This window comes from Homo sapiens, chromosome X, assembly GCF_000001405.40.
Source record: "Homo sapiens chromosome X, GRCh38.p14 Primary Assembly".
NCBI classification, from domain to species: Eukaryota; Metazoa; Chordata; class Mammalia; order Primates; family Hominidae; genus Homo; species Homo sapiens.
This window is the reverse complement of record NC_000023.11, coordinates 72001545-72023330: the sequence shown is the minus strand read 5'-3', so window position 1 is coordinate 72023330 and position 21786 is coordinate 72001545. Positions and strand designations below refer to the sequence as shown.

At 44.8% G+C, this 21786-nt stretch overlaps 1 protein-coding gene across 8 annotated transcripts in view, besides 2 other annotated features; it reads right to left on the bottom strand.

Annotated features, from left to right (window-relative positions):
* Nucleotides 1–21786, bottom strand: part of NHSL2 (NHS like 2) — a 242442-nt gene that overhangs the window by 129956 nt on the left and 90700 nt on the right. For 7 of the 8 annotated variants that reach the window (NM_001438805.1, XM_047442065.1, NM_001438806.1 and 4 more), the window contains exon 2: nucleotides 13917–13985. The exons of the other annotated variant lie outside the window; for it this stretch is intronic. In NM_001438805.1, the coding sequence (NP_001425734.1) occupies nucleotides 13917–13985 (69 nt within the window). The remainder of the gene's footprint in view (nucleotides 1–13916; nucleotides 13986–21786) is intronic. 8 annotated transcript variants of the gene reach the window in all.
* Nucleotides 4442–4491: an enhancer, noted in NCBI's record as "active region_29753". NCBI's record gives its function as "activates an Ori minimal core promoter by ATAC-STARR-seq in GM12878 lymphoblastoid cells {active_cell/tissue: GM12878}" and the evidence as "EXISTENCE:reporter gene assay evidence [ECO:0000049][PMID:35858748]".
* Nucleotides 4472–4851: a silencer, noted in NCBI's record as "silent region_20900". NCBI's record gives its function as "represses an Ori minimal core promoter by ATAC-STARR-seq in GM12878 lymphoblastoid cells {active_cell/tissue: GM12878}" and the evidence as "EXISTENCE:reporter gene assay evidence [ECO:0000049][PMID:35858748]".

Sequence of the window (21786 nt, the reverse complement as noted above, 5' to 3'; positions counted from 1 at the left end):
CAGCCTGATTTTCTTCCTTATCTGTTCTAGGCATAGGCAGGCCCTGCCTGTTCCCCAACCATTTTCACACGTATTTCTACTGGCCTGGGCCCAAAGTCAATTTGCCAATCTTATGTCATTGGACTTCCCTGTTGCCTTGAATTTACTAGAATATATTAGACCATATTTGTCTCCCCTCTGCTGCCCCAACACCTAGTATCAAGCCTGGCAGAGAATGAACATTCAGTCTTTAAGAAATAAATGAATGAATAAAAGAAAATGCTGGTATTGCAAAGGATAAAGAAAAGAATAAGACACAGACAGTCCTGCCTTCCAGGAGCTTAGAGTTTACTTATGAAGACAAGATCTAGAAAGTAGTAGAAATAGTGAATGGATAACCAGGCAGCCATGTTTGACTTTCCTTTCAGGCCAAGCAGGGACCTGGGGTACTGTATCCAGGCTGGAATGCAAAGAGCTGTTGGGTGCAAGGTATAATAGGTAAGTCATGGAGGTGGGGTGATCTGAAGCAGCATCTAGGATCAAAAAGTGGGGATTAAGTTAAGCCTCAGACTCTAACAGGGCTGGGAAAGTTGTGAAAACCAGATACGGTCTCTAGGACCTAGACACACTAAGTGTCATGGATTGAATGTCTGTGCACCCTTCTTCATATGTTGAAACCCTACTCCCCAGTGAGATGGTACGGGGAGATGGGGCCTTTGGGAGGTGATTAGTTCTTGAGGGTGGATCCCTCATGATGGGATTAGTGCCCTTACAAAAAGAAACATCAGAGAGCTTGCTTCCTCTCTCTGTTCTCTGCCAAGTGAGGACACAAGGAGAAGGGGGCCATCTGCAAACCTGGAAGAGGACCCTCACCAGACACCGGATCTATGGGTGCAGTGATCTTAAAACTCCCAGCTTCCAGAACTGTAAGAAAAAAAAAATTGTTGTTTAAGCCACATGTCCATGGTATCTTGTTACAGCAGCCCAAATGGGTTGAGACATTAAAGTAATGAAAGCAAGTTCAGAATGGAGAAGAAAGATTCTGGAAATAGTTCTTCAAGCCATGGGGTATAGCTGCAGAGGCTTATTATAGTATAATAATATTTATTGGCCTCATCTGTGAGTTGGGGTGGAGCTCTTCAAACCACCAACAGGCGGCAGCACTGCTAAAGTGACAGGCTCCTAGCTCAAGGCTCTAAGGGCTCAGGGCAGCTTTGGTGGGTGGGGGGCTTCCCAGAGGGGTGAGAACCTATGCTCTTGAAGCATGGGAAAGATTCTGAGAAGCAGGTAGAGTGCCTGGGTGTTTGAGGTCGAGAAAATATCCCAGAGAGCAGAGGCACCATGGTAGAGGAATTCTAAGGCATGACTGAGGCTAGGGAGGAACAGGATTCAGGGAAGAACCCCACTGGTAGGTGAGGAAAAGAGAGATGGTCTAGCACCTCCACATGCCAAGTAAAGTGCTGGGGAAGAAGGAGAAGCCGAGCTGAGGCAGGGGCACCATGACAGCCTTGGCTGTCAGGCTCAGAAGTTTCAATTCTATAGGCAAGAGGGTTTCTCTGAAGGCTTCTGAGCAGAGGAGCTACCGAATGAAAATTTACTTACAGTGTCAGAAGAAGGGAGTTTCCAGCCTCAGTCCCATCCCTGACTCCCTGAATGACCTTAAGTCACCCAATCTTCATCTTCCCCCTGAGTAAGATGAAGGGATGATATCGTGGAGAGCCCAGGCTTTAAAACTAAAGAGATGTGGATTCGTATCTCAATTCTGACTTCCTCACTGTGTGACCTTGGACAAGTTACTCAATGTCTCTGAGCCTCAGTTTCCTAGGGAATAATAATGCTACCCCAGTATAGATTCAGAGTAAGGGAAGTTTGAAGGCCTACCTGGGCCCTGAGGAGAAGCTCCCTTTCTCTGCCCACTTACTCTCCCTTGAAGCACACACGTCCAGTGATTTTAAGTTGGATTTGGGTAACAAGAATTGGGTGACAGGCAGTGAACTGGAGGGAAAGGGACCACAGACAGGAAGGCAGGGGATAGATGAGAAGTGTCTGAGAATAGAAGCAATAAGAAAATAGAGGCAGAGCCAGGGCAAAAATGTCTAAGGAACCAATTCCATTTGGTGACTGAGAAACTGATGCTATCATCACTGAAATGAATAAGTGATTGGAGAGGTGGGAACACAGCTTTAAGTCTTCTCACTCCTCAGCTTTCTGCATTAACAGGGCAAGCATTCACTGAACACCCAGAACATAGTCCTCAATATTTGTGTGTGTGTGTGTGTGTGTGTGTGTGTATGCGCACGCGTGTGTGTGTGTACACACCCTCACCTCTAGGGAGTTTCCCCTGCCCTTTCACTTTCAGAGAAGACAAGGTCAAAAGAGGAATCTAGATCTTTGCTACTCAAAGTGTGGTCTGTGGACCAGCTATGTCACCATTACCTGAGAGTTTGTTACAAAATGAAGAATTTCAGGTTCTTCTCCAGACCTTCTGAAACAGAATCTGCACTTTGCTTCTCAGAGTCAACATACAAACCATCATCTAGAGATCTTGTTTTCTATGTCACTGGTCCATGGGTTACACATTGAAAAGCAAGGAACCAGGGCAAAAAAGGAGCCACTGTGTTGGGGATGGAGCTTTAAAACGGCAGGGGCCAAGGGAAACCAAGTCAGCTAGGGTTATGGGTTTATTTTGGGGGCTTCTCTCAGACAGGTGGGGCAGTAAATCCCAGAGCACTCCCTTCCCCCCTCCCTAGAAAGCTGCTCAGCACTGTCTCTGGTCTGGACCAAAGCAGGGCTAGTGGCCCCCACATAATCTAGCTTAACCCTAGCCCAACTCCAGGAAGGAAGAAGAGGCCATATAGTGGTTTGCGTCCAGAGCCCTGCCTCAGACTGAAACGTCCTCTGAGCAGTATGTTCTTTGAGGATTTAGCCTGATGATCTGCAGCTGGTTAAAGAGTCAGAGTTTTGGGGTCCCAGCCAACATCTCTTCCCATCAGAGACAAACTAATGGAGAGAAAGAGAGAACTGTCCCCAGCTCATGCTTTTGCTGGGAACACAAGACTCACAGCGATCTGTGTCAGTGCTGCTGTGTGAGCTGAAGTATGTGTGTGTGTGTGTATTTTAATGAAGGCATAAAAAAATCAAGGAACTATGCCAGGTAGTGAAATTACGGAGAGTTTTTATGTTCTTCTTTGTACTTTCCTGTTTTTTCACAATTAGCCTGTGTTAGTGTAAAAATCTGTAAATAAAGACTATTTCAAAAAATAACACGAAGAAAAATCATGGCAGAATACAAGTAAGTGCTGACTTTTGTGCTGCAGATAGTTTATCCTATGGGGATAGGATTCAGGGGAGATTTCTAAGGTGAAAGACAGAGGAAGCAGATGGAGAAGGGGTGCCTGAGATCACCAGGCCTTTATTCTGCAGATGGGCTGAGTCAAAAGTCAAAACCTGAGTCTCTTGGACTGCCCAGCACTGGTCAGGCTCTGACTAGGGTAACTGGATTCATTTGTTGAATCTGAGAACCTTAGATCTAGAAAAATCTGAGAAATTACAGAGCCAGCCCTATCCTTTCCTTCTCACAGGAGGGACTGAGGCTCAGAGAGGTGAGAACTCTGAGGACTCCTAGCTTTTGCACAGGCTGTTCTCTGCCTGTATCACCCTCCATCTGGCCCTTGTCTGCCTAACTAATCCCAACCCTTCCTTCAAGACTCGGTTCAAACAGCACAGAATCTTGTGAGTTAGGTGGCCTCTGCTGTGCTCACAGAACACTCAGTACATTCCTCTGTCATTCATTCGACAAATTACTGAGCACCCACTGTGTGTCAGGCACTGTTCCATGTACTCGGGAGCATAAGTGACCAAAAATCTCTGCCCTAGTGTGTGGTGACTAAATCATCGCATTTGTTCATTCAGCCAGTGTTTACCTACGTGTCGGGTTTCTGTACCTGGCCTAAGCTATTTTATGGTCAGGGCAATTGTCTCCACAGGCTTGGCCTCCTTCTCTTCCCTTCACCGTGAGTGCCTTGTGACACAGTGAGTGTTTTCTGAATGAATGAATGAATAATGAAATGACCAAGGTCACACAGCAATCTCATGATGGAGCTGGCACTGAAACCCTGGTCACCCGAAAGCTTGTGCACTTTCTCCTGCGCTCCACTGCAGACAGCTCCAATCTTCGTAACCTCCATCACCTCAGGTGAAAGAGGTCACAGAGGAGATCAAGGACTGGGTCCTTAGGCAGATTCATTTTGGAAAGGCGAGACTCATCCTATCACAGATCCTCTCTGGCGAGAGTGGGGACGACACCAGCCTCGGACAGGACATCCCTGCTCAAAAGCTTGGGGCGATCAAGACTGGACACTCTCCAGTAGGGGCCGTGTCGGCCCCATCACTCTGCCCAGTGTCTGAATCTTGAAGTCCATTTCGTTTCTGGATCAAAAACAGAGCCACCTCTGGCACTGCAGAAACATTCATTCCTCACGCACCCCATCCCTGGGCCCCGATCTTTCCCTCTGAGCCAAAGGCAGCGCCGGCCTTTGGCAGCCAGAGCAGCGCGGGCCGGTGGCCCCGCAGCCGCACTGCAGCGCCCTCTGCCGGGCATCGGGCTGGCGCCGCCACTCCGCGGGGCGGGGGAGGAGGGCGGGCGGGGGCCCGGCTGCTTCCAAGCAGCCTCGTGTTCCGGAGGTGCTGAGGGATGGTGACTCATCGCGCCGGCTGCGCCCGCACCGGCCGCCCTCGCAGGCTCGCCGCCTCCGCACGCGCCTGGTGACTGGCCGAGCTGCTCCGCGCACGAAAAGCAGCCCGGGGGCCGGCCCCCGACGGTAGCGGCGCGGCAACGCTTGCTTCCCCGGCCCGTGCCCTCGCCCTGCCCGCGGACCTGGGCATCATGGAAGCTTCTGGCGCTAAAAGCCCGCTCTCCTCCACTTGTCGCGTTGAGTTTTCACCTCTAACCCGGGATAGGGGTCGTTTTTATCACACCACCTTAACAAGAGGGAAACTGGGCGGGGGAACGGTGAGGCGAGGGCCGGGGTCAAGCAGATAAGAAGCAGGGGAGGGCCTAGATTAACCAGTAACCTCTGATTCCAGAGCTCGAGGTGTGCTTTCCATAGCATCAAGCTGCATGGTCCCCCTAACCTCCCAGGTCCTCACCCCCACACAAGCAAAGGAAGGGTAGGTTGGACCACCTCATAGAGGTCCTTGAAAGTCAAGCACCATAATAAACATTTACCATTTTAGAAAGAAAAGAAAAGCTATAAATGGCATTTAAGAAGAAAGTCAGGTAAGCATTGGGCTTGATTCTGTAAATATGTTTTAGATTATATAGGGCAGAGGGCAGTGATCAGAGCTGTGAGTTCGAAAGCTGCACCAAAGGAAAACAGATTGGAGGAGTAGCACCTGAGACCCCAGCAGGCTCAGCAGGGTCTAAATTAGAGTCAGGAAAATGAGGGGAAAAAAAAAGATTACAGATCTGGGAATGGGAAGGACTTAGTGATAGATCGGATTTCAAAAAGTGGGGCAATTAAAATCCATACATCACTTTGTACTTCTACTCAGGTATCTACTACAATTGATTCTGCCTTCTATCTGAGTAATATTTTGCCAGCTTTGTTAGACAGTTAGGTCCATAGAGTAGTGCTGGTGGCTCAGACCCCATTCCTGCCTTGAGGACCATGACCTTGTAGGGGGAGAACGCAGATATCTGGGTGCAGTGTCCATCCTGTTAGCTGGAACACAGGTGAGGGCAGTGCTGCTTGCCCAGACAGCATCTGCACATACCACAGAACCCCTAAGCCAGCCCCTACTTCCTCCTTGGGAAAAGTCTGGAGGGCTCCAGCTTAACTCCAAGGCTGCCTCACGCTACTGAATGTCTTTCTGGGCCTACAATTTGCTGGAGCACCTGAGTGGGAAGCTTGAGCTGCTCTGGCAGTCCCACCTTGAGGCCAGGCATCAACACCTGTGCAGCTGGCTGCGAGCACCTGCTGCCAGCTGGCAACATTGAAGGGACACACCACTGGGCAGGTAGCATGGCTGTATTGTAGAAGGGTAATGTATCCAGGTGTCAGCACCCCACAAAGACAAAATCTCCACAGAACTGGAGAGTATTATGTCAGCAGTGGACCCAAAGGTAGCTAGAACTTCCTCTGAACCCACAATTTGGTCTATCCAGAACATTCAGGCCCAATAGGCCCTGCTACCCAGCCCGTCTTCCCCTATATAGAGGGGCATGATGAATGAGTGCACCCTTCTGGGGTGGGTTGTTTCCTAGTTCCACAGGACCCCAACCCACAGACACCAGCATGGAACAGGGGCCACTCCTAATTTCTGGTACTTCCCATCCTCCACCATTCATGATAACTTGCTGTCACCCTGGGCTCTCCTGGATAAAACAGCACAGCCCCACTGGCTCCTAATGTTACCATATGCTGCTTCTCTACTTGGTCCACTCTTCACTCCCTTCTGTGAAGTTCAACAAGGTATGTAATCAAGCCAGAGTTTTGGTGGGTTGGTTTGTTTGTGATCAGGAAAAGGAAGAGTTGCCCCTACTTTGGAAGTACCACTGAACAGCAGAGCAAGTGTCCAGAGCCTCTGTTTATAATAAATATTTACCCTCAGAGCCTGAAGTGTAGGTCCTCACAAATACACAGACACAAATGTGTGTGTCTCTGTGTGTGTGTTTGTGTGTGTGTGTGTTGGGGATGGGTTATGTGGGTTCTTTGACCCCTGAACATCTTTCGTGCAGGCCCCAGTGGTCTTTCTGAAGGAGAAAAAGTTGTGTGGAGAAAAGGAGAAAAGATGTCTCCCTAAATTAATCTATAATCTCATTGCTATTTCAATCAAATCTCCAGAGGAATTTTTCACAGAACCTGACAAACTGATTCTAAAATCCATGTGAAAAAGAATATGTATAAGAAGAGCCAAAACAATTTTTTTGGGGAAAAGAACAAATGAAGGATGACATTATACAAGGTATCAAATCTACAGTAATTAACAGGGTGTGGCATTGGCACAGAAGTAGACAAATGAGTGAAAGAGAACAGAGAGCTCTCAAGCCAACTCATGTAAAGGTGTTAAATAAAATAATAAAAGCTGCATTTATAAGTCAGTGGTGAAAGAATGGACTATTCAACGAATAGTGCTGAAGTAACTAGCTTTCCATTTGATAAAAATTAAATGAGATCCCTACCTCATACTATACACACACATATTCCACATAGCTCAAACAACTAAATATAAAAAAGAATAGAAACCTGTAATGGGAAAAATAGAGATTTATATATTTGTGACTTTGGTATGGAGAAAGTCATTTTAAACAACACACAAACACAACCCAAAAGCCAGGAGGGAGTGGTTGACAAATTTGAATCTACACAAAAGAATAATTTTTTTTTAGGCAAAAGACACCATCAATAAAGTTAAAAGACAAATAATAAACTGGGGAAATATATTTGAAATGTATGTATTAGACAAAGAACAATAAAAATATATAGAGAATTTCTGTAAATCAATAAAAAGGTAAACAACTCAAAATAAATATGGGCAAAGTATATGGACAGGTAATTCAAAAGGAGAGTTACAGATGGCCAACAGACATTTGAAAAGATATTCAGCCTCTGGGAATCAAGGAAAGGCAAATGATAACAACCACCAGATATCATCTTTCACTCATTACATTCGGAACTCAAAGTCTGACTATTATCAAGTGTTGTCAAGAAGTTGAGCAAAACTGCTACTCTCATACACTGCTGGGTGGAGCACAGCCATTATGGGTAGAAATTGGACAACACCCATTAACATGGAAAATGTGCATCCCCTATTACCCAGCAACGCCACTTAGCATCTATCATGAAGAAACTCCTGCACGTGTACACAAATGTTTATTGAATGGATGTTTATTGAAAGATTGTGTTAGCCACCACAATTAAGAAACAACCTAAAAGTTCATCAATGGGTGAATAGTTAAATAAATCCTGATAAAAGTCATACTCTGCAAAGTTACATAACATTTTAAAAGAATAAGTTAGGACTTCTGCTTCTGGGAAGATGGAATGACATACTTTTCCCTGGTCCTCCCTCTAAAGCACAACAAAAAACCGTGAGCATTATATATAAAATGAACACAAAAAGACTGGAGAGGAGGTGGAGAGAAGAATGTACACCTGCAAGAGACCTCAGGACTCAAGGAACGGCATGTGGTGAGTTCCCTGGATTTTTGTTTTGCCTCATATATCCCAGAGTTGAAGCTGAAAAAGTCTGCAAACTGAAAATACCAACAGGGGCAGATTTTTTAAAAATCATGCTCTCTTACCAAGACAGAAATTTTTATACACTAATTCTTTAGCCAAATACCACAGAAAAAAATATGTGGTCCCGTTCCCAACCCCACCAGCAAAGGAGGGGTTGAAAACATAGCTTTTCACCCTTGCTAAGCTATAACCAGGTGCCCCAAATTTCCCCACTGGGGTGAAGTCAGAGAAGGCTGAGCAGGCATCTGGGATAGACCTACTAGATAGAAAATCAGCAAGGGTATATAGGAACTCAACAACACCCTCAAACAACAGGATTTGATTTGACATTTATAGAACATCTCATCCAACAGCAGAAGAGTACACATCCTTTTCAAGTGCCCATGGAATACAAAACATGTTAGACATATCCTGTGTCATAAAACAAATGTCAACAAATTTAAAATAATTGAAATCAAATGAAATGTATTCTGTGACCAAATTGGAAATCAATAACAGAAAGATAAGAAAATATCTAAAACTTGAAAAATAAACAACACACTTTAAAATAACCCATGGGTCAAATATGAAAATTTAAATTTCAAGATAAATTTTAAAAATACATTGAACTGAATCAAAATGAAAATACAACATAGAAAAATTTATGAGATGCAACTAAAGCAATGCTTAAAAAGAAGTTTATAGCTCCAAATGCTTATACTATAAAAGAAAAAAGGTCTCAAATCAATCATCTAAGTTCCTACCTCAAGTAACTAGAACAAGGAGAGCAAAATAAAGCCAAAGCAAACAGAAGGAAGAAAATAATAAAAATAACAGCATAAATAAGCAGAATTGAAAATAGAAAAATAGAGAAAATCAATGAAATAAAGAGCTGCTTCTTTGAAAAGATCAGTAAGATTGACAAACCTCTAGCAAGACATACAAATTGCTCATATCAGGAAGGAAATGAATATCACTACAGAGCCTTCAGACATCAAATGGGTAATAAGGGAATACTATGAACAATGCTACATGCTTTGACAACTTTGATGAAACAGACCAATTTCTTGAAAAATATAAACTTCCCAAATCTACCAAATATGAAATAGATGATTTGAATAGCCCTATAACTATTAAAAACATGAAATTCATAATTTTAAAACTACTCCCTTTAAAATCTCCAGGTCCAGATGGTTTCACTGGAGAATTCTACCAAATGTTTAAAGAATTGTATGCTAATTCTACACAATCAGTGTAACAAACTAATAGAAATCACATGATCATATTAATCAATGCAGAAAAAGCATTTGATAAAATCTAACACTTATTATAAGTTAAAAAAAACTCTGAGAAATAGGGCAAAAAGGGAACTTCCTTAACTTGAGCATCTACATACAACTTACACCAAATATATATATATTTTTTTCTGGATCAAGCAATATTAGACTTATACCTAACATTAAACACAATGCTTGAAAGACTAAATGCTTTCCCCCTCAGATTGGAAACAAGGCAAGGATCTCTGCTCTCACCACCTTAATTCAACATAGTGTTGGAAGTTCTAACCAGTGTAATAAGGCAAAAAAAAAAAAAGAAGAAAAAAGAAAAGATAAAACATGTAGATTATAAAAGAATAAATAAAACTGCTCCTATTTGGAGACGGCATTATAGTCTACATAGAAAATCCCAAGGAATCTACAAGACAATTCCTAGAACTAATAAGTGAGCTTAGCAAGGTTGCAGGATACAAGATAAGCTTGCAAAAATAAATTGTATTTCTATATACTAGCAATGAACACATGGATGCTGAAATTAAAAATACAGTGCCATTTACACTTGCTCAAGAACAAAATACTTAAGTGTAAATGTAACAAGATATGTATAGCGCTTATATGCTGAAAACTACAAAATGCTGATGACAGAAATCAAAGAAGACCTAAATAGAGAAAGAAATATGCCACATTCATGGATCAGAAGACTTAACATAGTAAAGATGTTAGTTCTCCCCAAATTTATGTATAGTTTTAGCTCAATCTCTATCAAAATTCCAGGAGGATATTTTAAACATAGACAAGTTTATTCCAAAATTTATATGGAAAGGCAAAGAAACTAGAATAGCCAAAACAATTTTGAAAAGGGAGAATAAAGTGGGAGGAATCACTCTATCCAATTTCAGGACTTATTATGTAGCTACAATAATCAAGACTATGTAGTATTGGTGGAGGGACAGACACACAGATCAATGAAACAGAGTAGAGAACCTAGAAATAGACCCACACAAATATGCCCCACTGATTTTCAACAAAGGTACAAAAGCAATTCAATGGAAGAAAGATAGCCTTTTTGAATGGTGCTGGAGCAACTGGACATAGACCAAAAAATGAACTTTGACCTGTGTAGTGGGCTGAATGGTGCCCTCCCAAAAGATACGTCTACGTCCTGATTCCCGGAGCCTAGGGATGTTACCTTATTTGGAAGATGAGCTTTTGCAAGTATAATTAAGATGAGGAGATCATTCTGGATTCAAGTGAGTCCTAAATCTAATGACACGTATCCTTATAAGACGGACACACAGAGGAGATGATGATGTGAAGATGGAGGTAGAGATTGCAGTGACATGGCCATAAGCCAAGGAGTATTGGCAGCCCGCAGAAGCGGGACTAGACAAGGAAGGATCCTCTCCTAGAGCCTCCAGAGGGAGTGCAACCCTGCCCACACCTTAAGCTCAGACTTCTGGCCTCCACAATCATGAGAGAATACATTCTGTTGTTTAAAGCTACCAAGTTTACAGTTACTTGTTACGGCAGCCTCAGGAAATGATATAATCTATCTCACACCTTATACAAAAAAAAAATCAACAAAATGGATCAGAAACTTAAATGTAAAATTATAAAATTTTTAGGAAGAAACAGGAAAGTGTTTGGAATCTAAAGCTAGCCATATAAGCCAGACCTTATACTTGAAAACCAAAACACATCCAAAAAAACAAAATTGATAAATTGGACTTCATCAAAATTAGCAAGTTTTGTTCTATGGAGTCCTTGTTAAGAGGATGAGAAAAAGCTTCAGACCAAGAGAAAATGTTTGCAAACCATATGTCTGACAAAGGACTGGTATCTAAAATGTATAAAGAACTGTCAAAACTCGACAGTTAAAAATTCAAACAACTCAACCAGAAAATGGGCTAAAGACATAAATAGACAAGTCACTGAAGAAGATATACAGATGGCAAAGAAGCTCATGAAACAATGTTCAACATCACTAATCTTAGGGGAATGAGAATTGAAACCAGAATGAGATATTACTTCACACCTAGAGAAGAACGGCTAAAAGGGAAAACAGTGAGAACACCAAATGATGATGAGGATGCCAAGAAACTGGAATCCTCATACATTGCTGGTGGGAATGTAAAATGGTACAGCCGCTCTGGAAAACAGTTTGCCAGTTTTGTTTTTTTTTTGAGATGGAGTCTCGCTCTGTCATCCAGGCTGGAGTGCAGTGGCAAGATCTCAGCTCACTGCAACCTCCACCTCCCAGGTTGAAGCAATTCTCCTGCCTCAGCCTCCCAAGTAGCTGGGACTACAGGTGCGCACCACCACGCCTGGCTAATCTTTGTATTTTTAGTAGAGATGGGGTTTCACCGTGTTGGCCACGATGGTCTTGATCTCCTGACCTCGTGATCCGCCCACCTTGGCCTCCCAAAGTGCTGGGATTACAGGTGTGAGCCACCGCACCTGGCCGTCAGTTTTTTGTTTTTTGTTTTTTAAACTAAACATGCAATTACCATATGACTCAGCAATTGTACTCTTGGGCATTTATCCCAGAGAAATGAAAACTTATTTCCACATAAAAACCTGTTACGTGAAGGTTTATAGCAGCATTATTTATAAGAGCCCAAAACTGGGAATAACCCACATGCCCTTCAGTGGGTGAATGGATAAACGGTCTTTGATACATCCATGCCATGGAAGACTACTCGGCAATAAAAAGGAGCAGATTATTGGAAAAGGGGTAGGGGCAGACTATTGATACACGCAACAACCTGGATGGATCTCCAGAAAATTATGCTGACTGAAAACAAAATCCCTAAAGTTTGCATACTGTGTGATTCTATTTTACTACATAACCTGGTTGAAACAACTGTATTTTAGAAATGGAGAATAGATGAGTGGTCGCTAGGGGTTAAGTAGGAGGTTAGGGTGGGAGGGAAATAGGCGTGGCTATGATAGGATGACTTGAAGTATCCTTGTGGTGATGGAAATATTCTGTATCTTGACTGTATAAAGGCAACACCCTGCTTGTATATTGTACTATAGTTTTGCAAGAAGTGATTATTGAGGAAAACTGGGTGAAGGGTACATGGGACCTCTCTGTATTATTTCTTATACTGCATGTGAATCCATAATTTAATCACAATTAAAAGTTTAATTAAGAAAACAAGAATGAACTAGATCCATATGTCTCCTAAAACAGAAAGGTTTCCAAGACATATTCCTAAGTGAAAAAAAGCAGATTAGTATATATGGTGTGACACCATTTATTTTTAAGTACCCACATAAAACCAAACTGTGTATGCACAGAAAGAGATTTGGAAGAAAGTGGGCACTCTCCACTGATAACAGTGGTTACCTTCGGGGAGCAGAGTGGGACCGGAGAGATAGAGATTTGAATTGTAGCTGAATTGATTTTTTTTCACAACAAGAATATTATTCCTATGTTATTTGTATAATAAAAACATCAGCCTGGACACAACTACATTGTTCTAGAAATGCATATCTGTTTTGCTTATCCTGATTTCACCTATCCCTGTGTCACCAACACTGTGGTCATAGGACCCAGTTCACAGGTCCCCTGCCCGTGAGCCTCAAGGAAGTGGCTACTGAGCCTCCTAATTTGGAAATAGGCCCACTAGCAATCAAGGCTACCTTTGAGGTATGGAAGAACCACCTGGAAGAACCAGTGCCCCTATGACTATGAATCTACCCACTGTGGCTGATGACAACTTAAATAATACACAAAGCTCAGTCCATGCCAATTAATGCAGCAACAATTTCCATAAGATTCAAGTCAACAAACTGTTGTGCAAGTTTCAATACCGGAGGCAGCAAAGGCCTTGCCACCCGCTGACCTGAAAACATGGCAGCAGTTGAGCCTCTTTAGAGGAAACTGTGAACAGCAGGAATGAGTAACAACTGGTAACCTACATCCAGCTGTGCCTGGCTGAGAGCAGACTCACTAGAGTGGCCCCAGAGAGTACATCATTTATCCATTGTGAATCATTTATCCATTCACAATTTATTGGACACCTACTCTGTGCCAGGTCCTGTCCTAGGCACTGACTATAGCAGTGAACAGAACAAAGTCCCTGCCCTCATGGAGCTCTCATTCTAGTGGGAGAGCCAACGATAGGCAAGGGAAATAAATAAAGTACATGTCAGATAGTATTAAGTGCTAGGAAGAACAAACAGCATGGATGGAGGATATGAGGTGTTGAGGGCTGGGGCTTGAAATTTTAGAAATGGTGGCCAGAGAAGGTAACAAACTGAGAAGGTAACAAACTGAAACATACTGAAAAGGTAACAAACATTCCAGTGGAGATGTGAAGGAAGTGAGGGAGCCAACTACAAAGATATCCAGTTGTTCTGGACATTTTCCATTTGTCTGTCCACATCTTTTCCACCCTTCTCCACACAGCTTGTACCCTGGTAGGCTGACCTGTGTGGATGGCATCAACAGGCTCCCTTGCCCTCTGGCTTCGGGTTAGGTTTGACCAATGGGAAGCACCTGCAAAGAAACCAGAAGAAAAAGGAAAAGTGAGATTGGGGTATTTAGTCATCCACTCTCTCTGTTCAGGGTCACCATGAGTTGGCGGCATCCCTCTGCCAAAGGCCATAGCTCCCGTCAGGTGGTTCTCTCCACACAGCAACCGTTTCCCAGTTCCTGTGAGCACTCCCTCCAGGGATCCTTCCTGATATACTGGGGAAAAGCATTCCAGGCAGAAGGAAAAGCAAATACAATGTACCTGGAAAACTTAAAGAATGATCAGGAGGCTAGTGTGGCTGGAATGGAGAGGCAGACGATGGGATTTGTAGGAGATCATGTCAAGGAGGTAAGGGGGACCAGATTATGCAGGACCTTGTGGACTACTATAAAGATTTTGACTTTGAATCTGAGTGAGATGGGGAGCAAGTGGAGGATGTTGAGCAGATACTGACATGCTCACACTATGTTTTCACAGCATCACTTTGGGAGACTGGTGACAGGGATACTAAAATAATCCAGGCCAGAGACGATGGTGGCATGGACTAGGGTGATAGCAGTGGAGGTGGCAGGAAGTAGCCAGATTCTGAATCGATTTTGAAGGTGGTGAAGAAAAATCCTGTTCCACTACAATGACCAGGGCAAAAGGCCAAACTCAAGACGAGCAACTTATTCCTCAGCATGTCATTATGTATGACTGAAAGTTCTGTTATGCAGCAAGATTTCAGAAGGTCTTGCATGCAGCATGATAATCCTAATACCCTATCACATGTGTGGGACATACAACTCTGTGCCAAGGTTCAATTCAAAGGGTTTCTAGACTGTTCCTGACTCCAGAACAACTCCAGAAAACGATCATCATCGGTTTTCTAGCCAACTTACCCCACCCCAAAGCCGCATCTCCATGGGGTGGTGCTGGGTGCCATTTTGTCCCCTGCTCTAAACCCCTTATTGGCTCCAGCCACTCTACCTCCATTGGCTCCTCCACGAATTGGCTTAAACATGTCACATCAGAATTTTGGAAAACACTGTCCGCAGCCTGTCCTGTCCATACCTCCTGTCCTCTACTCACCGACTCACAGGTTGACAGCAGACAGAACACGTCCAACCACTGAGCAGATAGGGACGTGGGTCACACAGTCAGTCAGAACAGAGTGTGGGCAACAACTCAAAGGTGCCAATATTTTGATAAAGATTTTATAATTTTCCTGGGAAAACAGGCAACTGTCAATCATATGCAGGTCATTGAAAGGGAAGAAAAAATGGAAAACTTGGCCCCATAGGCTGAAAGCCTCCAGCTTGAAATACCTCCTGGGAGCAAAAGTACCCTGGTATTTTTTGGTGCACAGTGTTGATTCTCAGAATGAGACCTGTTGCTTCATATTCACGAACTCCCCCAGCAAAGGCACCCAGCTGGAAACTGGAGAAAAGCACATGATTCTGAGGGCTCATTCCAAAGCCAGGAAAAACTGATGGTATTTTGTTTATGTTCAAAGAAATCAATCCAAAGAGATCAGCCCCACAGCCAAAGTCAGCCAGAATGGAGAGCAAACTGCTGCCAACCTCTGGGTCCTGGCCCGCTCATCAAGGGGAGAGGATGACCTTCATTGGAATCTGGGATCCAAGACTTTCAAGCGGTGTGCCCTTGGGCAAGATTCTTAACCCTCCTTAGGACCTTGATTTTCTAATCTGTAAAACAGGGCTAATTGCTACCTCACAGAGTTGCAGTAAAGATCAAATGAGCTTTTGTGTGTCTGGCATAGCCCCTGGGATACTAGCTGCTCAGTATGTGTTAGTTCTCTTCTCATGCCCACCTTTCTTTGGCAAGAGCCAGGCCAGTGATGTGGGGCAACTCTGGGGTTCCAGTGGTCCCTGGTGCCCTTAAGAAGAACTCTCTGAGGGATTCTGCAGCTCTTACATGGCAGTGCTGCTTTCTGCTCTTTATTAAAAGGGCATCCCCGGGTAGCTGCCATTTGATCCCAGCAGGACATGGTTCCATGCACAGCTTAGCACCAAAGGGCACTAATGCCTATTAATTAACTGTACATTCAGCTGACCTGCCAAAGCAGCTGATTTTATTTTCAGAATCCCAAATGTTTTCTTATTCCACTCTACCATACCTGAATCCTTTATGTATGTGAACCACCAATGCAGACGTTTGCTCTCCCCCACTTTCTTTCTCTTTCATCCTCTCAGCATCTCCTCTCTTCTCCACGCTGCTCCCTCTGCCTGTCCCTTGCCTTGGCTCCTTCTCTTTCCTAGCTCTTCCACAAACCCTCATCCAAAGACAGTACTTGTAGGGAGAGAGCAGGTAAAAGTGGCTCAAGTAGATCCATGGTGAGGTTTGAAAGAGACCATTCCACTTCCTCTTTGCCCTGCCATACCAGCCCATCCTCAGCCCCACTTTCTTGTCCATTCACACTGGGCTGGGCAATGGAATTGCAGAGCAAAACGAGTCATGGTCACTGCCCTCAGAGTCTTGTGGGAGAGACTTGCAGTCCCATGGTGTATACGAAAAACTGGATGGCTAGGAGCAGTGGCTCATACCTGTAATCCCAGCACTTTGAGAGGCCAAGGTGAGAAGATCTCTTGAGGTCAGGAGTTCAAGACCAGCCTGGGCAACAGAGCAAGAACCTTTCTCTACAAAATTAATTAGCCAGGCATGGTGGCACATCTGTGGTCCCAGCTCCTCGGGAGGCTGAGGCAGGAGGCTCATTTGAGCCCAGCAGGTTAAGGCTGCAGTAAGCCGTGATGGCACCACTGCACTCCAGCCTGGGCAACAGAGCGAGAGCTGGAGAGGAGGGTGCACAGAGGTGGGAAGGCATCTGCCTGCCTCTGAGGGGTTGGGGAAATGCAGGAGACTTGCACTGGGCCTTGATGCCTGAGTGAGATTTTTCCAAATGGAAAGAGGGTCAAAGAGCATCCCAGGGGTGGAGATAGCATGGAGGAGAGGAAGGCAGTGTGTATTTGGGGTTCTGTGTAGCCACACAGTAAGGTCTGAGAGACGGATAAACCATGAACCTGGAAAGGGGAACGCGGAGCCAACTCACCAAAGATGTGTCAGGTTGGTGGGAAGCTGGATCGCAGTGGGTGAGAATGCAAGGCTAAGCAGTTTGGACTTGTTGAATGTTGGGAAGGGACATGATGAAAGCCATGTTTTAAAAAGAAAATTCGGACAGGCAGAGAGACCAAAAGCAGAAAGGAGGCCAGTAAGGAGATTGCTGCAGTGGTCCTGTCACAAATTGAAGTCCTGAAACAGGGTGCTAACCATGGGAACAGAAATGAGGAGGCAGAGAAGAGATACCACTGGGGCCTACTTTCTCTACCTCTGGACTTATCCTGGAGTCATTCTGCAACTTTCCCAACACCTTCTCCCTGGATAACCTTAATGGAACCTGGGCCTCAGGTCTAACTCCTACCTCAACGTGGGCTTATCCCAAATTTATATCTTGAGAGCTGACCTCTCACTTGCCCCTGGGATCAGATTCTAGTTACTTTCTGGACATTTTCAAGTAATCATCTCATCAACATGTCCGAAATTGCCATCTCGATGCCTGCCCCTCAGCACTAACCCAGTCTGGTAGAACCATGTAACTCAGCTACATTATGGGCTTCTGGGCCTAATCCAGCCACTGATGAATCATCTTACATCTCTATAAAGCAAACGTGATTCCCCAGTTCTAAACCACCAATTTATAAGTGAACTCAGAGGACTCAACACATTCACACCTTGGAGGTTGCCTTGCTTCACGCCCCATTGTCAAGTTCCTCCACAGTGGCCCTCAACCAGGGCTGCACTCTCCTGTCCCCTGGAAGTATTTGGAAATGTCTAGAGGCATCTCTGGTTGTTCAAAATGACTCCGGGGAACTACTGGCCTTTAGAGTCAGGGAATCATGAGGTTAAACATCCTGCAATGCACAGAATCCCACCCTGCAAAGAATTGACTCACCCCAAGCAACAATAGTACTTTCACCAAGAAACACAGTGACCACTAGCTCAATGAGGCAGGGACTCTATGTTGTTCTCCACTGTGATCTCAGCATGCAGCAGAGTGCACTGCACATGAGGATGTGCAATAAGTGCTGCTTAAATTAACAAATTGGACTAGGTGCAGTGGCTCATGCCTGTAATGCCTGCACTTTGGGAAACCAAGGCGGGAGGACCCCTTGAGGCCAGGAGTTGAAGACCAGCCTGGGCAACAAAGAGAGACCTCTGTCTCTACAAAAGTTGTTTAAAAAAATTAATATAGATACTCATTCATTCATATAACCAATGCCTACTGAGCGCTACCCTTGGTGCTGAGGATAGAAAGATGAACAAAACTTGGGCAATATGCATTTGTATCTCAGCCTGCCTTAGCTCGGTGGGTGGGAAACGTGATCCTGAGATGGAGGCTAAAAGTCCAGAATGCCTCGCCTTCCATAACTACCAAGGGGCCCCTTCCCAGCAAGGGGAGCTTACAAGCTAAATGCTGAATTGAAAATTCATTCATTCATTCAACCAACACTTGGATAGCACATAAAACTTTTTGAAGCACTTTCTCAGACATTATCTTGCTGAAGTTGGGCTGCCAGGAGCGGAAGGTGGGGGTGGGGGCTGAAAACTGGGGCCTGAAAGGTTCTCGCCCAGCTCTCCTGGGCCGGAGCGGACAGGTCCTAGCAGACAGTCCCCTGGGACTGGGGCGGGGCGGTAGGGGGCTGCGGGGGTGGTTCTGGTGTGAATGGAAATATGCACCACATGGCCTGAATTGCAGGGCCGACCTCAGGCTCCCACAGCCCCAAACACTTCCAGATGGATTTATTTATAACTCCCAAACCAGAGGCAGCACTCCTCACTGCTTTTCCTTACTCCCCTCCCCACTCCTGGAGCAAGCCGTGGCCATCCCTCTCCGCTCCGGAAACCAGCAGGAGACTGGGAATGTGCAGCCGCTGAGCCACAGCCACAGCCAAACTTGGGCCCCTGGTCACTGCCTGTCCCCTAGGTGGCAACAGCAGCTCACGGTGTGGGTGTGCCTGTGGAGCCTGGCCAGATTCCTGCCCACCTGGCCCATCTGGGCTCTCACAGGACGGCTGCTAAATAGGCAGTGCGAGCCAGGCACATTCACTCTGGCAAGTCTCCGTTCCAGATCTGCCTCCACTTCATAATGCCACAGTCACACCCATGTCTTCTCATTCTCTGTCTCCGGGACATTCCTAGCCCCTCCCCTCCACCATCTCCCACAGGATACTGCTTCTCACTGCTGCCAGAGGCTTTGGACTCTGACATTTTCCAAATCAGGAAACCAAAGCTCAGAGAGGTTGAGCAACTTGTCCAAAGTGACACAGCAAGTTAAACAAAAGAGACAGAAGTTGCAAACCCAAGTCCTGCCCCTGATAATAATGCCTCCTAAACCTCAGTTTCCTCATGTGTGAAGTGGAACTAATGCCAGGCAGGTGGTGTGGTTAGAAGCGTTGGCTCTAGAGTGGCTCTGCTTGGAGCTCATGATGGTTCTGTTATTTACTAGCTGGGTGACCTTCCATGAGTCACTCTTCCTCTCCTAACTCAAGATTTTTTTAATCTTTCCTTTAAGGATTAAAGAGATGATGAATGGCTTAGCATAGGGTCTGTCAGGCCCGCAATACAGAGTAACGACTATGATAGTTTATTGTTCAACTGAATCATTATAGAGCTTACAGATCCCATCTCTTGATGAGATTGGGAGCATTCAGGGTGTTATGGACATAGATCCATCTCTTAAGATATGGGCCAGGCCCCACGCAACATCACCTTCTGACTCCTCACACATAGAAGTAAACTTGGGCCTGAAGAGATTAAGTGACTTGCATAAGGCCATACTTGTAGGAATAGAGGAGAGAGTTGAACCCAGTTCTAGGTGGTTTAGCCCACCCAGCTGAACCTGAGCATTTTGGTGGCCCTAAGCAGGGCTGTGGACACATGAAACCTGGAGTAACCTAGTGGCCCTGGGGCTGAGGCCTTCCTATCTCCCTCTGCTCCTAGCCATGGCTTGAACTGGTGGTGGCTGGAAGGGATAGGGTAGCAAAGAAACCAGGTGAAAGCTCCAGAGTGAAACTTCTAGATGTACATATCTGCTGCCTATAAATCCTCGTTGCCCTCAAAGTTACTCAGAACCAAAGTATGGCAAACCCACCTCTCTGCCTCCAAAGGTCCAGACAAATTTTCCTGCAGCTGTTCAGCAACACACGACACCAGATTTCTGCTTCAGTGGGAGTCTTTGGCACTCACATTCCTTTCTGCTTGCTGCTGTGCAATTAAACACGCATAATTTCTCCATGTTTTCCCATCCCGCACCACACGTCAGTACCACCAGTGACAGCATGAGGGAATAGCACAATCTCTGTGCGCATATGGACAAGGGAACCAGTGGGCACTCTGTCAATTGAATGTGACTCACCAAATGGGTTCCAAATCCCATCAGCAATTAGGGTCTATTTATGTGTATTTCCCTCATCTTATCAGTGGGCTACCTAGGATGCTCAGAATTCCTGATAGTCCAAAAATAAGTGCAGTTATTTGGTAAATACCCAGCACACAATAAGCATTTAATAAATGCTCAATCTCTATCCAAACCAAATTAAGTCTCAGAGTTTGTGAGTTTGTAAACAAACTTTACCAGAGAGCCTCAGGGGAAGCTCCTCTCTGCTTCCAGCATTGATACTTAGGAAGGTTTCCTCATGGAACAAAGGCTTTGGTTCTTACCACAGAGACTACCAGATCTACAGCTCCAGTCCTACTGGATAGGCTCTCTGAGCCTCGGTTTCCTTATCTGTGATATGAGAACAATATCACTAATCACAAAGTTGCTCCGAGGCATCTGACACTGAGTCGGGTACATGGTACTCTCTTAATAGATGTTACATTTATAAAGCTTTATCTTGCAGCAAAAGTAAATTCTAACACACTGTAGAATTATCTAGAGTAAAATTATTTCTTCTCTCAATATTGATCAAGCATCTACTATGTCCACAGCAGCATAAAAGAAGCAAAATAAATTCAAAATAAAGTTTCTTTCCTCTAAGAGACTGTAATATAGCTGGAAACTTAGGCAGGTGTGAAATATGTCAGATAACTCAAATGCCTTTAGGAGCCAGGAAGGTACTATAAATGAGTGAATGAGGTTGGAGTGAGACAATACGGAGTAGTGGGGACTGTGTCTAGCTGGAGAGCACATACTCCATCTAAAGTGGAAGCTGCCACCCGGCCATGCCAATCTAGCTAACTACTGTCTTGGGGGCATACAGATCCAGTATTACCAGATTTTTCTGTTTTTCAAAGAAGCTAGAAATCCAGATTGTATGGAAAGATTACTAATTGCTACATGTTAGCACATAGTTTAAAAAGAAACAAACCACATGCAGACTAAACAAAATACACCTGTGGGCATTATTATTTGGCTCACCAGCCAACAGTTTGCAACCTCTCCATAATGGTAGATGATAAATTTGTCAAAATAAGTGCTGCTGACAATAAGTCCTAGACACATACAGAGGACATGAGTCCCTTGGGCTGGGATGATCTGGAAAGTTTTCCTCAAGGTGAGCCTACCTTAAGGTAGGATTCAGACTGGGCCCCAAAGTATGGGTGTAAGTCTGACAGGTAGAAAGGAGGAGCAAAGAGCTGTTGACAAGACTGAAGGTAGAGACAAGAATGTTGTAGTCAGAGCTCACAAGCGGTGAAGAGATGGGTCTGGCTGTTAAGGCTTCCTGGGGGGAGGGGCAACTTCTGGCCATTCGGTTGGTCTCAGTGGAGGAGGTTTCTCGTGACAAGAATTAGGGATCTCAGTGTGGAGGAAACAAGGGAAGATGG